This window comes from Homo sapiens, chromosome 12 (assembly GCF_000001405.40).
Source record: "Homo sapiens chromosome 12, GRCh38.p14 Primary Assembly".
Classification (NCBI taxonomy): Eukaryota; Metazoa; Chordata; class Mammalia; order Primates; family Hominidae; genus Homo; species Homo sapiens.
In genome coordinates, this window is record NC_000012.12 from 65493154 (window position 1) to 65513199 (window position 20046).

General features: G+C 43.3%; 1 long non-coding RNA gene across 3 annotated transcripts in view; it reads right to left on the reverse strand.

The window, feature by feature from the left end:
* Positions 1-20046, reverse strand: part of MSRB3-AS1 (MSRB3 antisense RNA 1) — a 175556-nt gene that overhangs the window by 26337 nt on the left and 129173 nt on the right. For 2 of the 3 annotated variants that reach the window (NR_120433.1, NR_120432.1), the window contains exon 5: positions 6426-6931. This is a non-coding gene — a long non-coding RNA (MSRB3 antisense RNA 1). Of the gene's footprint in view, positions 1-6425; positions 6932-20046 lie in introns of those variants that run through there. The other variant, NR_120431.1, reaches the window with a different exon arrangement.

Genomic DNA, 20046 nt, shown 5'->3' on the forward strand with positions numbered 1-20046 from the left:
AGCAAGTGGAGAGGAAGTGGGTTTCTCACAGGGTGCTAAGACAAGTGGTCTCTCATTTGTTGCTGTCTTACTGACCCCACATTCAGCAAATTACTCTCTGTTGGGGGAGATGGTTGCCAAGATAGGCAGTCTAGACTATAATTAAAAGTAAGATATTTTTTCACTCCATAAATTTAACAGTTTGTTTCTTGAAACCATCCTGTTTCTCCTTAATTTGGCTCTAGGAAAATAACCACAAGTGACATGTGGTTCACTGTGGTTTCCTCAGACACTGTGGCTGTCCTCATTTGGTGTGTTATGGTTCGTAACAGTTCCAGACTCAGAGATTGAATGATGGTGGTGGTATCAGAAAGGTTTAATGGCTGGAACCCCATGGAAGTAAATTAAAAAAATTTATTTGACAAGAAGTGAAATGTCTTGGAAGTTGCCAGGGCTAAACTACCAAAGTTTCATCTTATCCTTATTTATAATTTAATGGAACAATTTAGGATTTCAAAAACACTGGGTGCTTTCTCAACTACTTAACTCTGCCCTGAGTTAGCAGTAATGTAAAATGAGTTCTGCAATGAAGAATTTCAAGTACCCATAAGCAAGTGCAGAGTTGCAAAATCCTTCCAGAGTGTTGATTTATATTTCTGTAGCCCTCAGGACAGACATAGAGTTAGCAATGTATCTATGGTATTTGTCTCTTCCATTCAATTGCAAACCCCTCTTGTTCATGGCTGTATCATGAAGCCAGAGTCCTTAGAAGGTACTTAGGGAACAAGAGTTCTGAGGCTGATCCATGGTGTAGTCTTCCTCCCAGTTCTGCCTGCATGATTGCTTAGTAATCTTAGGCTGTAACTCATTCTTCCCTCGGAAAATGATCACATTTTATTGTCTTGGGAGGCATAGCAAAGCTCCTGTCACATGCTAATGTAATAGAACCTGAAGGCCCCTGGGCTCTGAGCCTGTGTGATTCCTGATTATGCTGGGCACATCTTGTCATTTTTGCATTTGAAGGGAGGGAGCAAGCCTGGTGTTGCCCACTCTTCTCCTTTGGAATAATGAAAATGGTAATGATGATAACCACAGTGAAAGCTAATGACACTTTTGTATTATATGCCAGACACTGGGGTAAATGTGTCATATAAAGTATCTCACTTTTTCTTCCCAACTACACCATGAGCCCTATAATTCTTAGCTCTAACTTACAGATGAAGAAACAGAGGTAGAGAGAGGCTACTGCTTAGTTAAGGTCTCCTAGCTAAGGAGTGCCTCCAGGACCCATGTTCTTAGTCTTTTCTCTCTTCTGGGGCAAATATATTAGATCATCTATTATAAAGCAACAGAGGAGATCAAGAAATACTCCAAGGCAGTTTGTTGCCCTTGGAGTCCTTAATCATTCTTTCAAACCTTCCAATTGGCATGGCTCTCTGCTTATAAAAAGATGTTTCATTTATTGAAATGTGATTTCAGAAGTCTTATGAGTGCAGCCAGCACACAGTGGGTAACAAGGAGTTAAAGTGCTTACAGTCCTTCCTGTTTGAGTCCAGCCAGCAGCAGTTTATCACAAATACAGGCCTTTGATCCTGACAGCTTTCCTTTTACTCAGGGGGAGCAGGGAGTGTTTGACATGGGGAAGCAGGGAAGACTACAGAGAAAAGGTTCTTGTTTGTTTCCTGGGTGGATCGCCTCCTTCTTGGCACATCTCCAGGAAGCAAGTCTTTTCCCACCCTAAAACATCAAGGAAATAAATCCCTCTCCCATAAAACAGACCTGGACGAGGCCCCAGGGCAGCCAAAAGTCCAGAGACCTGGGTGTCAGGGAGGCTGGAGTGTGCCTGGGTGTCAATATGATGCAGGGAAGAGATGGTTGATGTCAGCGAGCTCTCTGACCCCAGGGGGCAGAGCCAGGTTAGGGGCCCATAGAGAAATCCATGCCCTGAGATTGGCCATCTGGAGAAAAAACGCTAAGAGAAAGAGAAATTTCGGGAATATTTGAGGAGGGCAACCTGAGAGGCAAGCACCAAGGAGGCTAAGCCCGGGCGCCCGGAGTCCCAACAAGGTTCTCCTGGGCAGACCCCGAGGGAAGAATGGAAGTGTTATGAACACAAGCCAATGAGAAACAGCTCCAGCATTCAGAGCAGAAGGGGAACTGAGGGTTGGGGGCAGGCAGAATGAGGTCTCTACTGTGGACACGTGTGGTTTCTTGCAGCCCAAGATGTGTTGGCTGTCATTCTGGTAACTGTGTTCTGACTCATCTGTGGAATTTAACCCATGCCATCTGAATGAGGTGATCCACCTCCCCAGCTCTGGTCAGTGCCTGGGGAGTCAGTGCCTGTGATCCCGTTTGTCACAGTGATTGGTGCAGGGAGGGCTGAGGATGTACCAGGGCCAGTGAGGAGCAAGGAGACTTTGGCTGGGGCTTGAGACAGGCATTCATCTCCTCAGACCTGAAGTTAGGAAGAGGTAAATGCTGAGGACATTGTGTCTTTTGGGACTGTAATGGGAGAAGGACTCTGTTAGGTTTGATGATTGTTTACATATTTACCTTCCTCCCCCCACCCACTTCCTCTTGACTGCCCTGATGTTGGGCTTGGCCATGTGACTTGCTATCTGAGTAGTCCCTAAATTTGGGTTCATCCATGTAACTTGCATTGGGTAATGAGATGCCAGCAGACGTAACGCAACAGAAGCGTGAAATGTGCTGGTGCCATTGGGCTTGCTCTTTGAGCTTCTACGGTGGCTATGAGAAGAGTCTCTCAGGGTAGCTCCTGCCCTGTCAGCCAGACCTTAAGATGAATTCCCAACCTACCTTGAGGAGCCAAGCTTAGCAAGAGCCTCATGTGAAGCAGAGCCACTCCGTGCTCATGTGAAGCAGAGTCTCACCGTGCCAGCCCTCCCATAGGGTCGAGTAAGCCCAGTTGACATCAGCTGTCTGGCAGATGTATGGGAAATATATGCTCATTGTTGAATGCGTCTGATATTTTTGTGGTTGCTGATTAGGCAGCATTATTGTGACAATAGATAACTGATACAGGCTCTTTTAGAATTCAGCCAACAGGGCAGTGACAGACTAAGAAATAGAGAGACAGAAATAAGTCACAGTGACATCATTTGAATGCCTGATCAAACTGCTGCTAAAGCCAGACTATTTCTTGGGCTTTCCCAGTCTGTGAGCCTTTCTGTTAAGCCATCTCAGGTCAGATTTTTATCATTGGAAACAGTCCCTGATTGGACTGGATATTGACTAAATATGAAAGGGATCTGTATGTCCCTGCAACTCCTGCAATTCAAACACACACAAGATATATAGGTATGTATAGATAGAGATATCTGTTATAAGAAGAAGGAGTAACAGACAGGAAATTGGAAACCAAACAACAGGAGGAGGAAGGGGTTTATGCTTAGTACCCTGGAGCATCCATTCTGAGATGGAAATTTGCATGCAGTTGCAGGACCAATATCTGTGAGCAAGTGAAAGAAGCAGAATGGGGCAAAGGGAGAAGCTAAATTGCAACACATTTTGCACCAGAGGCCTCAGTGGATCCCATGGGGAATTCTGGAACTGAACTGGCCCTTCAGACTTGTCCTCATAGAGATGAGGAAGCCAGACCTTTGTACCCACCCCATTGGCCAGGCATTGGATATCAGCTGGCCCCAGTGAGACATTGCAGACTCGGACAAGGCAGCTTCCTTCAGCAGAAGGCAATTCTTAGAAACACAGCTGTGAGATGTTGCAATCAACACTCCTGGAAGCAGACGGACTGAAAGCCTTGGTCCTGAAGGGGCTGGTGACCTAGCTTGGGCACCCTAGCATCCACCACAAGGGCCACAACCTGATGCAGAATTGAGAGAGTTTCTGGTTGAGATTATCTATCAGGTTACAGCAGGATATTAGCCCAGCAGTCATTTGACCTACTTTTACTTTGCATTATCAGCAAGGGAGGAATAATCAGTCAGTCAAAAAGTACTTATTTTATATCCAGAGAGTAAAAAGAGCCCCCACATTTATATAATCCGAGAGAGATAAGAATGACGATAGCAGTTCTTTCCCAAAAGGGTCAACGGAAATTTTTCATGGAAAGTCATTTCATAATCGGTCAGTTTTTGACTTCTCACAAAGGTGATGGTGGACTAGAAGGACTGGCTGGTTCTCCACTGCACAGGTTGATTTGGTGATGGCACAGATGAACAAATCCTCTTCCATGCTACCAGGTATCCCACAGGCCCAGAAGTTAGAGCACTGGTTTGCTTGCTAAGGGAATCATGTGTACAAAATTCAAGGAGCTCTCTTGCTGCCAGAGCTGGTTGGCACTCACCAAGTTGGGAAATGGTGGGGGGCAATCTCCTCCCTTAAGTGTCTTTGTCTCCCTTGGGATGTCTTTGTTCACTCTACTCCATTTTTCCCTATAGTCTACAAAGCCCCCTGAGTGCCAGCCAGAGGGTGAGGAGGAGCCCCTTTACCTACAAGCTCTTCTTGCTGAGAAATTCTGCTTCTTGACTTTTCAGCGCCCTTCTGTGGAAATGTGTTACTTAAAATGCCTACGATATTTGGGGTGGAAGGGGTGGAAACAGGGAAAGTAATAATATTGGTGACACATCATAAATCCACAGAGACAGGGATGCTGAAAGTGGCAGAATTAAGGACTTTGGAAAGCACACAAGGTCAGCTGTGAAGAGGGCACTATTGTGAAACACTCAAGGACTGTTTTCTTAATCCTGGTGTGCAATATGGTACAGAGAGCATTCAGGAGTTACACCATTAGAGCCCTGATTTCACATGAGTTTAGTATTTCATGCTAATCGTTTTGACATTTCCAGACATCGGCTAATATTGGTCCCCATTCTACAACAGCCTATTTCCCTCTTCTCCACATGAAAGGCGAAGCTGTTGAGTGTTCCATCCCTTTTGGGTCTGGAGTTTTACCAACTGTTTGTTTTAAGTGAAGTATGATTCCTGGGTATGGAGGAGAACTACAATCTTTCTTTCTAGCTGGTCCTTTTTCTGAGACTAGGTCTGAGGAGTTAGGAGTTGGAGAGAGACAAATTATATTGTGAAGGGAAAAAGTATTTTAAGACTCAGATTGAGGGGAATTGATTAGCTTTATAGATGCAGGATTTGAAGTGCCCTTCTCTTCATCAGAGCATGAAATGATATCTATAATGGTTTTAGTACTCACGATTTTGATATTTTTATATTATATTATTTTGTTGTTATGGATTTCATCTAGAACAATAAGTCACACTCCTTATGCATCATGCCCCACTAAAAACTCTGAAAACAGAATTCCATCATGATAAGAAAAAGGTCCACTTTTCCCAAGAAGTACACTTATTTACAGATATTTTGATATTTTGCTGTGATATCAGTTATTTTGGAAAGGTTGCAAAAGCATAAAAAACTGTGGCCAAAATGAGGTTTATTCTGAATTACCAAGAGTCGTTATGAAAGCCCTGTGTTTCATGAGATTTTGCATTTGATAAAATTCAACATCTTTCCTAGTAAGAAATCTTAGCAAACTTGGGATTAAAAAGACTTCTCTCTCTCTCTCAAACTCCATAAAGGGTAGCTACAATAAAACCACAATAAAAACTATGTGTACTGGTGAAATACTAAAGCAGACCCCTAAAGTGAAAATAAGGCAATATCAGCTACGCTGCTATCATGCAACATTATGGTGAAGGTCCTAGCCATTGCAACAATATAAGAAATGGAAATGTATGCTTATTGGAAATAGCACATTATCTATCTGGAAAACACAAGAAGTGCAAGTGAAAAAACCTTTAGAGCCAGCAAAATAGTTCATCAAGGTAGTCAGATATATGCTATCTGGGGTATATAGTGATGCTCAATTAGAAAATAAAGGAAAGTAAGGCTCTATTCACAGAAGGAACAAAAACTCTAAAGTACATAGCAACAAATCTAGCAATAAATAGGTAAGGCCTATATGAAGAAAATTATAACTAAAGGACATGCTAGAAATCCTGAATAAAGTCAGAAGCATATCATGTTCTTTGATGGGAAGACTCAATATGAAAAGATATCAATTCTCCCCAAATTAACCTGTTAATTCAGTGAAAATCCGATCCAATGAAGTAGCATTTCTGATGGCAGAAGGAAAGGGGTTTTGGCTTATAAAGGAAGAACTTGAGTCCTCAGACCTTTGCAGGTAGTGTCAGAACCCAGCTCCAGTTCCACTGGAGTTGACAATGCATGTCTGAGGCACTGAGTGCAGCAAAGCTGCTGGCCCGCCAGGGATGACGCGAGGCCGGAAGATGCCGCCCACAGTACAGGAGCCGAAATCTCCTCTGCTGATTAAACTGAATTCTCTGGGATAGTTAGGATCAGACCTACCATCAGTGGTTGTATTTATCACAAGAGGGGAAAGGATCCCAGGGAGGGAAAAAGAAAATTTGCTCTCTTGATAACAAGACAGGACATTTTCTTTGAAAAATTGAAAAGTGTAGGACCTTACTTTATTCCCAAAGCTGATGAAGTAAACAAATTCAATTGTGTAGTTATAATCATAAGGGTGATTAAGGAATTTACTTTCTTCTTTCCTTCAGAAATTATCCCCTCTGTGTAGAGACAATGTATGATTCTGTACCTGTTCCCTGTCCTTAATTAGATCCATGAGATCTTTGACAATGTGTACTTTGAGTCCTTCTTTGGGAAACATCGATAGATGATAAATAAATTTTAAACTGTAAAATGTCCAAAAGCAGAAAGTCCAAAGGATGGTCTAAGAGTATCAATGGAATCAGTTATTATATTTATTCATCCACTTACAATTGTTTTTGAAAAGTCCAGGAGAGCAGAATAGATGCCAGGAAATTGGAAAAATGCAGCTGTGGTGCAAATCTTCAAATGACGTTGAGTTGAGCAGTCCTTTCAAATTACTCTCCCTCACTGTCAGTTTAGAAGATTTGGGAATAATTGTATAAAGCTGAAATATAAAAAGAGAGACACACAAAAAAGTTTAACAAAGCAATTTTAACTTGAATACATGTCTACAATAAAGGGATAAAGAGTGGTCCGCAGATGATCACTGTGCTTTGCTCAAGTGTATTGCCTGCCAGGACCCCACACAACTTCATTTATCAAATTCCTTAAGCTTGAAAGAGCAGTTGTGATGATTTCACTTCAGCCTAGTTTTGAACACAGTGAAAAAGATCAAGGGGTTGCGGTGTGGGGAGCTCGGCTATAGCTATCTCCAGAAGCAGCAATGCCAGATCATTTGGTGAGGCTTTATATCATTTTGAGTGATCAGGAGGGAGAAATGCCAGAAGACTCTGCAGTCTGGAAAAATTCCTGTAGATTGGGGGTTTGGGAGGCACTGAAGACCCCAACAAAGATCTAAGGAGTGAGACCAACAGGAAGTAAGGAAGTGAAACCCGTGCCAACAAAAAATTCAAACTGAGTCATCAGGGAAAATATTTCTTTACAGGGTCGAGAGTAATCTGGAAAACCACAGTGACATATGTGATGTCATGCAGATAGTGACAGAAAATTAGATATGTAATCAGTATGTCTCTTCCCCGAGCTGCTTGTCTAATGTAAGCCTTGAAGTTCTGTCACCCGGGGGCAATTGGGGGTCATGTTGTTTTGGGCTCACAAAGGGATGGCTCTTCCTCTTTCCTATCCCTGCTGCTCTCTCCTGGCAACCAGATGCATACTCAGGTTCATTTAGGCTCAGATTTTAGCCTTTTCCTTCTGGTGAGAAATCTTAGAAGATATGACACTCCCTTGTTCTGCATAGTAGTTTGTGGAATCTGATGGGGATGTCTGCAAGTGTCCAGAGACTTTTCTCCCTCCTTTCCTCCTCCTGACCACCAGAAGAGAGAGTTGAAAAAGCAGAATGATTTTTTTTCAATAATCTTCTTTTAGAAATCACATTCATGGCTTGGTTTGCCATTCATTTTTGCACCAAGACGTTTATGAAGTGGAAATGGCTGAACTCATCTGGCAGGGCTCTCAAGTGCAGACGGCCAGTTCCCAAATCCCTGAGGTGTGAGGGCTGGGTTCTTTTCAATAAACATTCCTGCACTTGGCCTTCTACTCCAGCCCCCTGTCCCTGCCCTCCCAGCGCCTGGAGCTTTCCACCTTGGCTCTGGCTCCTCTGAGCCTGGACTCAGCCTTCCAATTCCAGGTTGACCTTGGCTGAGCGCCCCATATGCTCATTCTTCTTGTAAAAGCAGAAAATCTCAGGCACAGATTTCTGCACTTGGCCTCTCTGCAGAACTTTTTAGTACTCAAGGCACACGCAGCCCCCAGCTGACACTGAGTGAAAGCAAGAGCACTTGCTTCGCAGAAGTCTGTGTTTACTGAATCTGATTTGGCCTTTGGCAACCCTGCTGCTGAGTCCACACTGAGAAAAGCTAGAGCTGGGCCAGGTCCTCAGGTCTACCCTGGGCTTGTTTAGTACCTGCGGGCATGGAGGATTCTCTCTGACCTTCTCAGTACATACCTCACCTCCCACCTTGGTGGACAAAACCGGGTATTCTCCACCATCATTGTGCTCTTAGGCATTCTGTCTAGGATGGTTGTGAAGATTCAATGAGATCACTGTTTATTTCAGTGGCTATTAAAAACTTATTAATTGATCATTAATTGATTTAGCCAAATCAGATAACATTGATAAGAAAATATAGTGTTGAGAGCAAATTAGAGAAATAGTCAAACTAGGAATATTTAGATATCTGGTTTCTGCCTTGGATTTTATCCTATGGCAAAATCCTCCCATAATCCAGGGGTAGTGGGCCGTGCCTTATTGTCAGACAGAAGTGGGTGGAGGCTTAGAAAAACTCCAGTCGTTGTCATCTGACCTACCTGTGATTAAAGAGAGCTCTGCACATTTCTAGCTGTGTGACCCTAAAATCTTTGTGCCTTGGTTTCCTCTTGGTACAATAAGGACTACATTTTCTACCATACGAAGGAGTTGAGATTATTAAAAGAGATAAAGTTCAATTGTCCTTGTCTTGACTCCTGCTACCAGCACTCTCCTTGGTCCTGACAAAGATTTCCCCAAACCTTGGCTTTTCATGACTTCCCAACAAACGTGGTGAATAATGTGTTCTATACACCTGTTCTCTGTCTCCAGGCTAACCTACGTGGTCTCCAGCTTTTCTTCCTAATGTAATCAATCATTTGCTCATGTTCCGTGTGACATGTTATATATTTACAATTAAAGGTTCTAGACTAATTTCATGAAGAATCTGGAATCTTCCTTGAGATCTTTCTTGGATAAATTCACCTTTCTTTGATTCCTTAGCTGCCATTATCATTAGTGCCAAGGATGGCAAATACACAATGTACCTGTTGCCAGCACATTCTTCTGAGTCCACAGCAGACATTACTAATTGAACACAGTGCATTTTCTCATGAACAGGGACAGAGTCTCAGAGTCACTTTGAACACATTGTGCAGGCAATGATTCTCATTGAATTGGAGCAGTGCATCGGGGAAAATCCATTAGCCATCTGTCTACACCATTTGACTTGTTACCTCTCTTGGACTTGTGAACGTGTTAGTGTCCTTGTAGTCATCTGTGCTTCTCCTGTCTGCTCCATTAGACTCAATACACATATGTAATTTGCCAAGGATTCTGCCCCTTATCTTGAGTATAACTCAATCTAAAAAACAAAGACATAGCTAATAGTTCTTGCCTTGTAGTCATAACCAGGGTCTGTCACTGTAGGTTATGGGATGAAACGAAACTATTTTTATTATCCTTTTTTTCTAGTTAATCCTAATTATTTCCCATGACATTAAATAAGTATTCCTTAAAAACATGGTATTTCATGTCTGTGCAAATAGTCTATCATATTGATATACCGCTGTTTATTTGATCATTCCCTGGTGTTAAACTCTAGGCTGCTACCAGTGTCTGGCCACAAAAAAATAATATCGTCTGGCAAATTTCTTCGTACCTATCTGTGTGGCTGCATCTCCAATTATTTTCTTAGGGTAGATTTCTCAAAATTATAAATAATTGTGTCAAATGGTAAGAACAGCTTTAAGATTTTTGATACACATTGATGTATTGTTTTCTGAAACGTTGAGACAATCTATAAGAGTAATGTAAAAGGATGATATTAATAATCACTAACCCTTGTGGACCTCATCTTTGTGCCAGGCGCTGTCCTAAGAAATTTACATACATTAACTCATGTCATCCTCACCATGACCTTTTCACAACTGAGGAGACTAAAGCACAGCTAAGGAGACTCAAGTCATGCTGGCATGACTTGAATGCAGTCTTTCCAGAGGCAGTAGGATGGCCGGGTGACATTGTTCAGTCTCTTCAGTCCAATGAAAACTTATAAAGAACCCAGTGTATTTGGTGCAGAGTAACTGGAAGATTTGTTACAGCCTTACATACATGAGGTGATAAAAATGTCATTATTACTAATAACAAGAACAACAACAACAGTATTTATCAGGAACAGGCCTACCTATTTTGCAAGAAAACTCATCAGTGGTCTGGGATGGCTATTGTCAGTCCTGTGGCAGAAATACCTGTGCTGACGCATTAGCGCTTAGCAGCACAGGTGAGCAAGAACTGGTTATTCCTAAACTGTATGCTGGGAAGCAGCTCTAATAAAAGAAGAATTAATTCAAAGCAATCCAAAATGTGCCAGCTTGGATCACAACACTGTTTAATGTTGTTTTAAAGAATGGTTCTAACTCTTTTTTTTTTTCAAAATAATGTTAATGGTAATTTCAGCTGTTAGAAGGGACCCAGTGAGAACTTATTTCTCCCTCTTCTTGAAGTCTAAAGTTTTGAATACCTAGTCATGGGAGTTCCTGATTAGCAAAGGGATTTTTTGTCTTCTTTTGTTTATAAGGCAACTGGTTGGTTTCCTTAAGGGTTTTAATTTTATTCTTGTGATTTCTCAACATTAGAGAATGGCAAGAGTGGCATGGGGGTGGGAGCAGGGTCTGGGGGCAGGAGGTTGTCGGGGAGGAAGCTTGCCAGGTTGAGCAAATAAAATACACGACACCAGTTAAACCTGAATTTAAATAATCAGTGAATAATTTTTAGTATGTCCCAAGCAATGTTTGAGACATACTTATACCAAAAATTTTACTCATTGTTCATCTGAAACTCAAATTTATCTGGAGATCTATATTTTACTGGTACCACATTGGAAGGAGGTAGGTGAGGTGGCCCTAAGAAGGGCCAGGACAAAGAAAGGAGAGAGGGATTTAAAAATAATAACAATCTTGGTCCTTTCAGATTGAAAAAAGAAGCACGAATAGTGTCTGCTGTTGGTATCAATGCTGGGGTCCTTCAGAGTTCTGGAACTGCTGGTTTCCTGAAGAGCATGCTGTTTACTGACAGAGGCTGTCCTGATGCCCAAAGGGAGTTTCTCAAGGTTGCAGAGGTGCTCTTAGCACTTTCTCTGGAAGTCACATAACTTCAGATAAATATTAATACTCACATGACCTCAGCTGTCCAAGTACCTGGATAAAGGAGGTTTAGAAATGACCTCAGTGCTAACTCTTTGTAGGGGGTGGAAATCACGGGGTTTTCTCATGGCAGCAGAACTCAGATACAGACCTTAAAAGTAATTAAGTTACAAAATTTAAAGCCAATGCTGTTTATTTTTACAGAGGGAGTTCAATGACTTGCCCCTGTTTTCTTGGCAGATTGGTCATTGAAGGAAGAAATAATGAAGCCCCATCTGGTCATCAAAAAGGGACTTTTCTCAGTCTTAAAAAAATTTTATCATTATTTAATTAGAAATTAAAACACATTTATAATTGGAAAAATTAAATGTGCTAATCATAGGAAATCTTAAAATACAGGATCATATAAAGATGAAAAAAATCAGTCCTAATCCATATGCCCCAGAGAAAATCACTGTGAATATTTTCCTGTATTTTTTTCTGGTCTTTTACGTGTAAATATCTACATAATTGAGATCATACTAAACATATAGCTTTGTATCCTACTTTTTATTAATACATTCTAGGCATTTCTCTGTGTTATTAAACATTTTTCTGCAGATTGACTGAATAATGCCTCATTGTTCAAACATACCAAGACTAACCTGATCCTGCCCCATTGATAAACTAGGTTGCTTCCAGTTTTTCTCTCTTTAGACAATGGTCTGTGGATGATCTTTTATATTCATTTTTATGCATTTCTGATTATTGACTTAGGAGAGATTCTTGGAAGTATAACTGTGGCTATGTCAAACTCTTATAAGAGGCATTCCTCCCTTGAGTCTTTGTTTTCCTAAAACTCTGTGGATTGGTCCTCCTCTCCATCTGATTAAGTCACTAGAATCAACAGGATAGAAAACATGCCCTTTCACAGATTTCTGGGTTTTCTTTGATCTCAAGAGCATGTGCTGTGTCAAGCATGCTTGGGTTTCCAGGCTGGTGCTCTCAGGATCTAGGCTATGGAGCCTGATTACCATGACTCCCAGCATCGCCTTGGCAAATACCTTCCTGAGTTCAGCCTGGGCAGAAGGCGACCCATAATCCCTCCTCCCCAGCCCTACACTGCCTTCCAGCCTTGGCCCAGACAGCGAGACAAGCACTTTCTCTCTGTTTTCGTGATGCTTCTAGCGGCACAGTCAGCCTGGGGGCTCTGCCAGCTCAGGAGCCACGAGCCCAGACTCTGAGGGATTTGGGTAAGAATGCCAACAGGACAAAGCTGGTCGGGAGGGGTGAGGAGAACCTCATTAATGCGAATTCCCTGCTTCAGCCCTAGCCTTCAGCTCCCCTTTCCCCTTGGAACCACAAGGAATGAACTGCCTGCTCCTCTTTACACAGCCTCCACCTGTTGCTTCGGACAGGCATCCTCGACATGGCCTCGCCGCACTCTGAGAGGAGGGGAAACAGAAGTCAGTCTCATATTCTCACCTCCCTGAGCACAGGGAGGCTTTCTAAGGGTCTGTATCTCAACAAAAACAGGAAACAGGCAAGGCATAAGAAGCCTTCCCCTTCACCCTGTTTCCTCCTTTTTCCCTTAGACCACCTAGGCAAGGAGAATTACTCCCCTAGAGATAATAATGGCACTCTGGAGATGTGAAGGCCTGAAGTCGCCTACAAGACTGGTTGGGGAAAACCCAGACTCGATTTTCTTTCTGGTGTTTCCTCACAGGAGTGGGTGGGGTGTGCCGGAATCAAGGGGCCATGAGGGAAGCTGAGGCCTGGGCTGTAGAGATGAGAGCCTCTGCCATGAGGGTGGAAAAGGCTGGTGTCGGGGATTACACTTTTTGGTACTTTCCTGCTCTTTCTTTCCTTCGCCTTCTCTGCCTGTCCTGGTGTGTGTAGACAGGGGCAGGGTTCCCAGGCAACTGCACAGAACACTGCACAGAGAGAGGGCAAGGCAAGAGTGGGGAGATGGGGTGGCAATTTCACACATTAGCAGTCTGGGAGGAGTTCCTTCTAGAACTCAGCAGAGCAGACACACAGGTACTTAGTCATTATTGCTGTTATTACATAAGGAATAGGCGGAAGACATTGCTTGCCCCTCTTCTTGGGTAGAAATATCAGTTCCTGCCTGAAACACATATCCATGATGGGCTTGAGGGAGAACTAGGAGGAAGATGGCAATGATGAAGAGAAAGAGGATGTCGAGTTTTATCTGTGCCAGGCAATGAGCCAACACTATAAATAAAAGTCTTTACTTATCATTCCCACCACACCTCTGTGCAGTGGACATGGTTTTTTACCTTGCAGATGAGAAAGTTGAAACACAGATTCAAACAGGCTTGCCTGAAGCCACTGACTGGTAAATGCAAAAATAACTTCCAACCCTAGACAAGACCCATATACAGTGTCCCTCCATGACATTAGATTTAGCAGCTCCTCGCAAAGCAGGAAAGCCAGGAGAGGCAAAGGTATATGAAAATGAGAAAGACACCACCTTTACTTTTCAAAAGCTTGTGGTCCACTGATGTTTCCAGATGTTCTCCTCATTTTCATCTCCTCCCTGCATTGCATCCATCCGTTTGACATCAAAGCCCCTTCTTAGGATTTGAGAGCCTTATGATTTGTTTTTCTCCACTGGGTCACTGTCTTCTGCAAGGAGGCACCGAGTCCCTGGTCACTTGGCCATTGCGCTCCTTGACTTTCCAAAGGGCAGGGTGGAGACAAAGGCAAAAACATAGAGAAGTGCCACGTGGCCATCCAGTGTAGGTCTGGGTCTGGTTTTCTTCGGATGTAGAGTCTGGCATTCAATCCATGGACATTCATGCTTCTGCGGGAAGTTAGGATTCCTCTGGGCACCTCAGCAAGATTTGCTCTCCTGCTTCCTGCTAGTACCAAGGTCAGACATATCCCTCTGGAGCTTGGCCTATGATTTTCATTCTTTGAATATCAACCCTAAGAATTTCACAGCCACATTTTTCACTCTCCAACAGTGTCTCCCTGACACAGCACATCCATCCGATACATAGCTGCTTTCCTCAGCCTTTTCTCACTTTTCAAGCTTCCCACATGGGTTATTCTGCAGAGGGAGATAAACTCAGTTCAGTTATTTCTCTGTCTCAACTCTTATGCTGGTCACCTCCTAGTGCCCCCACGAGGGAAGATGCACTGCTTTCTTCCTTGCCTTCTGCAGCATTTCCAACTGCCTTTGAATTTTTGTCACTTATACTTTTGAATTGCACTTTTTGCCAGTCTAACTCTTCATGTTGGCATCTGTATTCTGATTTTGTCTGGCTCTGGGGCCGGGTTGTCCAAGCCTTGTTTTTTTCTATTTTGACTGGAGACATCATTTTGTCTATTGTTCAATTTGGTGTATGCAGTCGCCCCTCAGTATCTGCAGAGGATTGGTTCCAGGACACCCTGCAGATACCAAAATCTGTAGATGTTCAAGTCCCAGATACAAAATGGTGCAGTATTTCCATATCACCTAGGCACATCCTCCAGTATACGTTAAATCATCTCGTGAATGCTATGTAAAGTAATTGTTGTGTTATATTGTTTTTATTTGTATTTTTTATTGTTTTGCTTTTTTTGTTTATGAATATTTTCCATCTGCAATTGGTTGAATCTGCAGATAGGGAACACGTGAATGTGGTGGGCTGACTGTACCTTGAATGCTGTGACTTTAACTTTCAAGCACAGTTAAATGTAGCTGGGACACTTTTCCAATGGAGCTCATGGGGCGTTGGATGAGAAAGACTTTCAGATGGAGGCATGCTCTGGAAGAAAATGCGGGTGGGAGCCCCAGCCCAGAGATGACCTTGTCATTGGTTATAAATGAGCTCAAGTCTCTGCTTCAGTGCTGGGGATGACATGTTTTAGAAGACCTGGAGAGGAAGGGAGATTCCTCAAGGCATCGTGGATTCAATCCAGATGCAAGGGAAGGTCTCTGGGAATTCCCTGCGATCTGTGCTTTGCCTGAGAGGTTTCCAAGAGACATTATCTCAGTACATTCTGTTTTAATAAAGAACATTTAAGAAGACGGCATCTGGGGAGCATGTGCAGCCTACAGAGTTGCTATAGGTAAAAAAAAAAAAAAAAAAAATTCTTTCTGTTCATGATAAATCCACAATTGCTTGGCCAATGTGGATTTATTGCCACTAAATCTTCTCTGCTCATGGTAAGAGGTTCAGGTTGAGTAGTAACAATCCCCCCTCTGTAATGGTCCATGTGAGTAGAACTGGTGTGCTGTTGCCGGTTGTCCTGCTCTGATTCCTGGCTGGGTGGGGTGGTGCCTTGAATGTTATCTACGTTTGTCCAGCGACAAGTTTCCTCCATGTGTGGGAAACACCAACACTGTGTCAGCGGAACACCAACATCTCATTGTATTCTTTACCGATTTTGTCAGATGAGGACTGTTAACATCAAAGTTCTCCTTAGAACTTTGAAACAAACTTTCACCCCTAAAAACAAGAACCCTATCACGAAACCTGTTACCTATCTATTTTCTCTCTCTTCCTGGAGACAGTATATTATTTCCTGCCCTGCCCACCGATTGTATCTAGAGGGATTGTTGACAGTTTCTACTCATAACCTAGATACTTACCAAAGGAAAGAAAGGTGATCTGATGAAGCACATTGCATCTTATTCTAGCTTTGGAGAAAACCCTTTTTAAAACCAGGAAGCATCCTGGATTGGAAGGTCATAGACATTATTATTATTATTATTTTAGCCAAGATGTATACCCTGGCTAAATCTCTTACTTCTGGTTTTTTTGTTTTGTTTTGTTTTTCCTCATTATGAAGTTAAGAGTTTAGACCAGGTGATCTTTTTAAAAGATCCCTTTTCCATTCTAAATGCCAAAGATGCTTCTCTAAATAGTGTCTGCAAAAACACTGCTTGGATTGCACAGAGTTCATTTTCCTTTGGAGACATATAAAGTCAAACAATGGCAACATTTTAGTGCACGTATTGTCCCTCCTTTATGATGCTTCATCCAATTGACAACCAGCTCCTACCAAACAGTCAGACTTCTAAAACTATGCAGCGTATGCCTAGGGTTTTACTTTTTAAATGAACTACAAAGTCATGATAATGAACATTTATTGAGCATGTACTAAGCCTTTAGACGTAAAATCACTTTTGATTTAATCCTTACAAATATTTTCTGAGGTAGGTTCTATTATTTATCCCCATCTTACAGGTAAGCAAACTAAAATATGAAGCTGATAAATAACTTACTTGAGGTCATATAATAACATGATAGATCTGGGATTCCAATGCTGGCAGTCTCATACCTGAGTCTGCCCAGGTTCATTCCAGGAAAATGCTTTTGTTTGGTTTTGTTTTTCCACAGCCTCAATTATCTTAGGGTCTCTTTTGAAGGTGTTTTCAAGCACGATGCATTTCCCAAATGTTAGAGGCTACAACTTATATATGTCTTGCAGATATGATTAACTCAAGTTATATGCAAATCTCTTTCTATGTATACCAAACAATATATAGGAGCCCAGAAAGAATAAGCTTGGCAGTGAGTTTCCTAGAAAGAACCACAGAAAGAGTTGATTGCCAGTACTGGTGGATATTGATTCAGACACTGACTCAGGTTGTATGCCCTGGTAGGAGGGCCTGGCCTTTTCCCTGGGCCTCTGGCCATAACCTCCTTCGGATCTTAAAAAGACACTAAGCATTGCTTGTCATCATGAATGAGAAATATCGCCTGGTTATCCAGAGGGAGACCAACTGGTGGATCCTTTAGCCGTGACATGAGGATATGGCTCCAGCTGGAGTCTCTCCTCCTGCTTCTGTACTTAGCTCATCCTGGTTTAACCAAAACCCAAAACAACCCTCTCCAAGGGCTCTTCCCTGGCTCAGGGACACTCCATTTTAAGAAACGCTCACCGCGCCTAGTACTTTGCATGGTACATTATAAGCACTCAGTAAATATTTGTTACTTCGTGGCAAAATAGATCAATTCAGCAGTGATTTTTCACTTTTCAAAAGGATTCACTGCAGGGTTCCTTTAAATGGCCGGCTCCCCTGGTGCATTTAAAATGCGATTTGATTTATAGGAATTCGATGTACATGGTTCTGCAGGGCCACATCAATCGTGTAAAGTGAGCCGCATGTGCTCCCACTGACGAGCGCGTTGGCAGCTCTCCTCCATCGGCTTGGAATGCACACAAGCCTCGGGTCTGCTCTCCCCGCTTTTATCACAAAGGGGCTCATTTTGTGAATGAACAGCCACTGCCAACAGCGTGATGGTATTTTCAGTGACCTTTGCCCGGGGATTGGATTCCCGCCCAGCAGGGAGACAAGGCCTTAGGAAAAGGTTAGTTCATTGACGGCCAGGGCCTGCTGGGCTGAGGTCTGGGGAGGGAAAGGCTCAGAGAACTTTCCCTTTTTTGTGAATCACCTAAAGAACCCACCCTTCCCGCCTGGCCTGTGCCGCTTTCTCTCTTTGTCTCGGCATATTGGATTCTGTTCAGCAGGGTGGTTTTATAGCTCCTGCTGCTCCTGCTCCTGATTTTTTTTTTTTTTTGTAACTGTGAATAATAGTCCTAGTTTTGCCTTGCTGTTTCCCAATAGCAATTCTGGGGTCCTCGTGAGCTTCCGCCCCCTCTTCTCCACCCCCTTTCCTCCTCCTCCTCCTCCTCCTCCTCCTCCTCATAACCACGGCCTTTTCAGTTTGATGTTTTTAGATATCAAAGGAAGTTCTCCAGGAACCCTGCAACTAAAGACTTTAATGAGGACCATGCCCAAGAAATCCTGGCTGCCAAATACATGATGATGATTTATGTCGCTCACTCACTCCCTAACAGCAAGAGGACTATTTGTAAAAATAAAAAAGCTGCTCATATGGAATTAAACAAGAGCATAGCTGCTTCCTTCCAGACCCCAGGAGCTTAACAAAGAGCATCCACACTCCTCTCCAGCAGCACATGGCTCAGGGCCCATATTAGTCTTCCTGTCATATAAAGCTCAATCCTGTTAGCGCAGGCAGCAGCGCACACTCTCCCTATCGGCGGACCTCAGAAGGCACATTTCTGAGGACCGCACAAAATGTGCGCAAGGATGTAGGCACAGGCTCAGGCCTACGCTGAGCCATGGAAGGGTGGTGTGAGTCCAGAGGCTAGCAGAGCCACTGAGTTGCTGCTGGCGGCAGGCTGAGGCTGACAGTAGGCATTTGCCATCCCCTGTTTATTCCTGGCATCAGATAGCTGAGTGACATGGATGCCAACTGGGTTCTGGCCAGCTCAGTGGAGAGAGCTCTGGAGGGAGAAACCCTTATGCTTGCATTTCCTTATTTGTCAAATGGGTTACCTCTTAGTGTTGTTGTGAGCGGTGATGAGATCATACATAGAAAACACGTAGCATCATATTGGTAAGTGCTAATTATTATTATTAATTATTGCTATTATTAGTATTCTGTACTGTGGCTGCCATGAATTGGTAACACTCAGACCCCTTGCTTCAGGGAGAGTGATGGAGAGTAGCTGGCTGATTACCCCAGATGCCAAACTCTAAGTTCACATCCACATTCTCACCATGTTACTCTGCTTGACCCAAGGCCATGCTTCCTGTGGGCTGCTCCAGGCCATTGATGGAGCGTGGTATGGATGCCAACACAAGCTCATTCATTGAGAGCTAGGACTCCTCCAGCAACGACTTTAGCTCAAAGACTTCCCATCAGCCTGGCAGCAGCTCCTGGGAATTGTGCTACAGCCTGCGACTTTCTCCTACCTTGTTCCCCTTCTGTCCTCCCCTCCCTCTCCCTGTGTATTCTGCTCATCTTCCTTTCAACCTTTTCTCTCCCACATACACTTCCCTCAGTAAACCTCTTATGTGTCTAAATCCCTGTCTTGGTGTCTGCTTCTTGGAGGACCCGAAGTTACACACATAGTGACTGGGCTTTCTACCACGGCTGTACTGTATTAGTACTAACACCTTCTTAGATACACGGACCATTGTTCACTCTTAGTCATTCAACATTGGATAAATGTGTCATGGGTGCTTGATGCCAGGGACACAGAGATTGTTCTTCTCACGGACAAGGTGTACACTGATAGACAGATACATAAATCATCATAGTGATATGGTCAGTGTTCAAGTAAATGCATGTATAAGGAATGCAAGAATCCAGAGGAGAAAGTGGATTTTTCTGCCAGGGTGGGAGTGTGGGTGGGAGATAGACAGGGACGGCTTCATTAAGAAGGGGATTTGAACTCAGGCAAAAGGCACAAGCCACATGCTGTCACCCCCTGTCTTCAGTGTAGTCCAATGAGTAAGTAAAAAAGAAAGAACAGCCCAGAAGAGATGTGACATCATGCCCTTTCATGGGCTTTTTCTCACCTTTTTTACTTCTTCCTCCAATGACTGTAAAGGAGCGGTAATTATCCCAGGGATTTGAGACATAATCCACCTTTCAGAGTTGAAAGAGGCACAAGCGTCATGAGCTTTTCCCCAGTGGGAAGGCAACTCCTGGACAGGCAAGTGGGTGCAAGAAGTTGCTGTGGCAGCAGGAGAGCAGTAGGGGCATGAACTGTAGGCTTCGGAGATGGGGTCATTGCTAAAGCAGGGCTCACTCAGCCTGGCCCCAGATCCAGCCTCAAGAGTCTAGTGTGGATCTGTTATGCATGGATTGTACCCCTTCCCATCCCCTTACAAAAAAT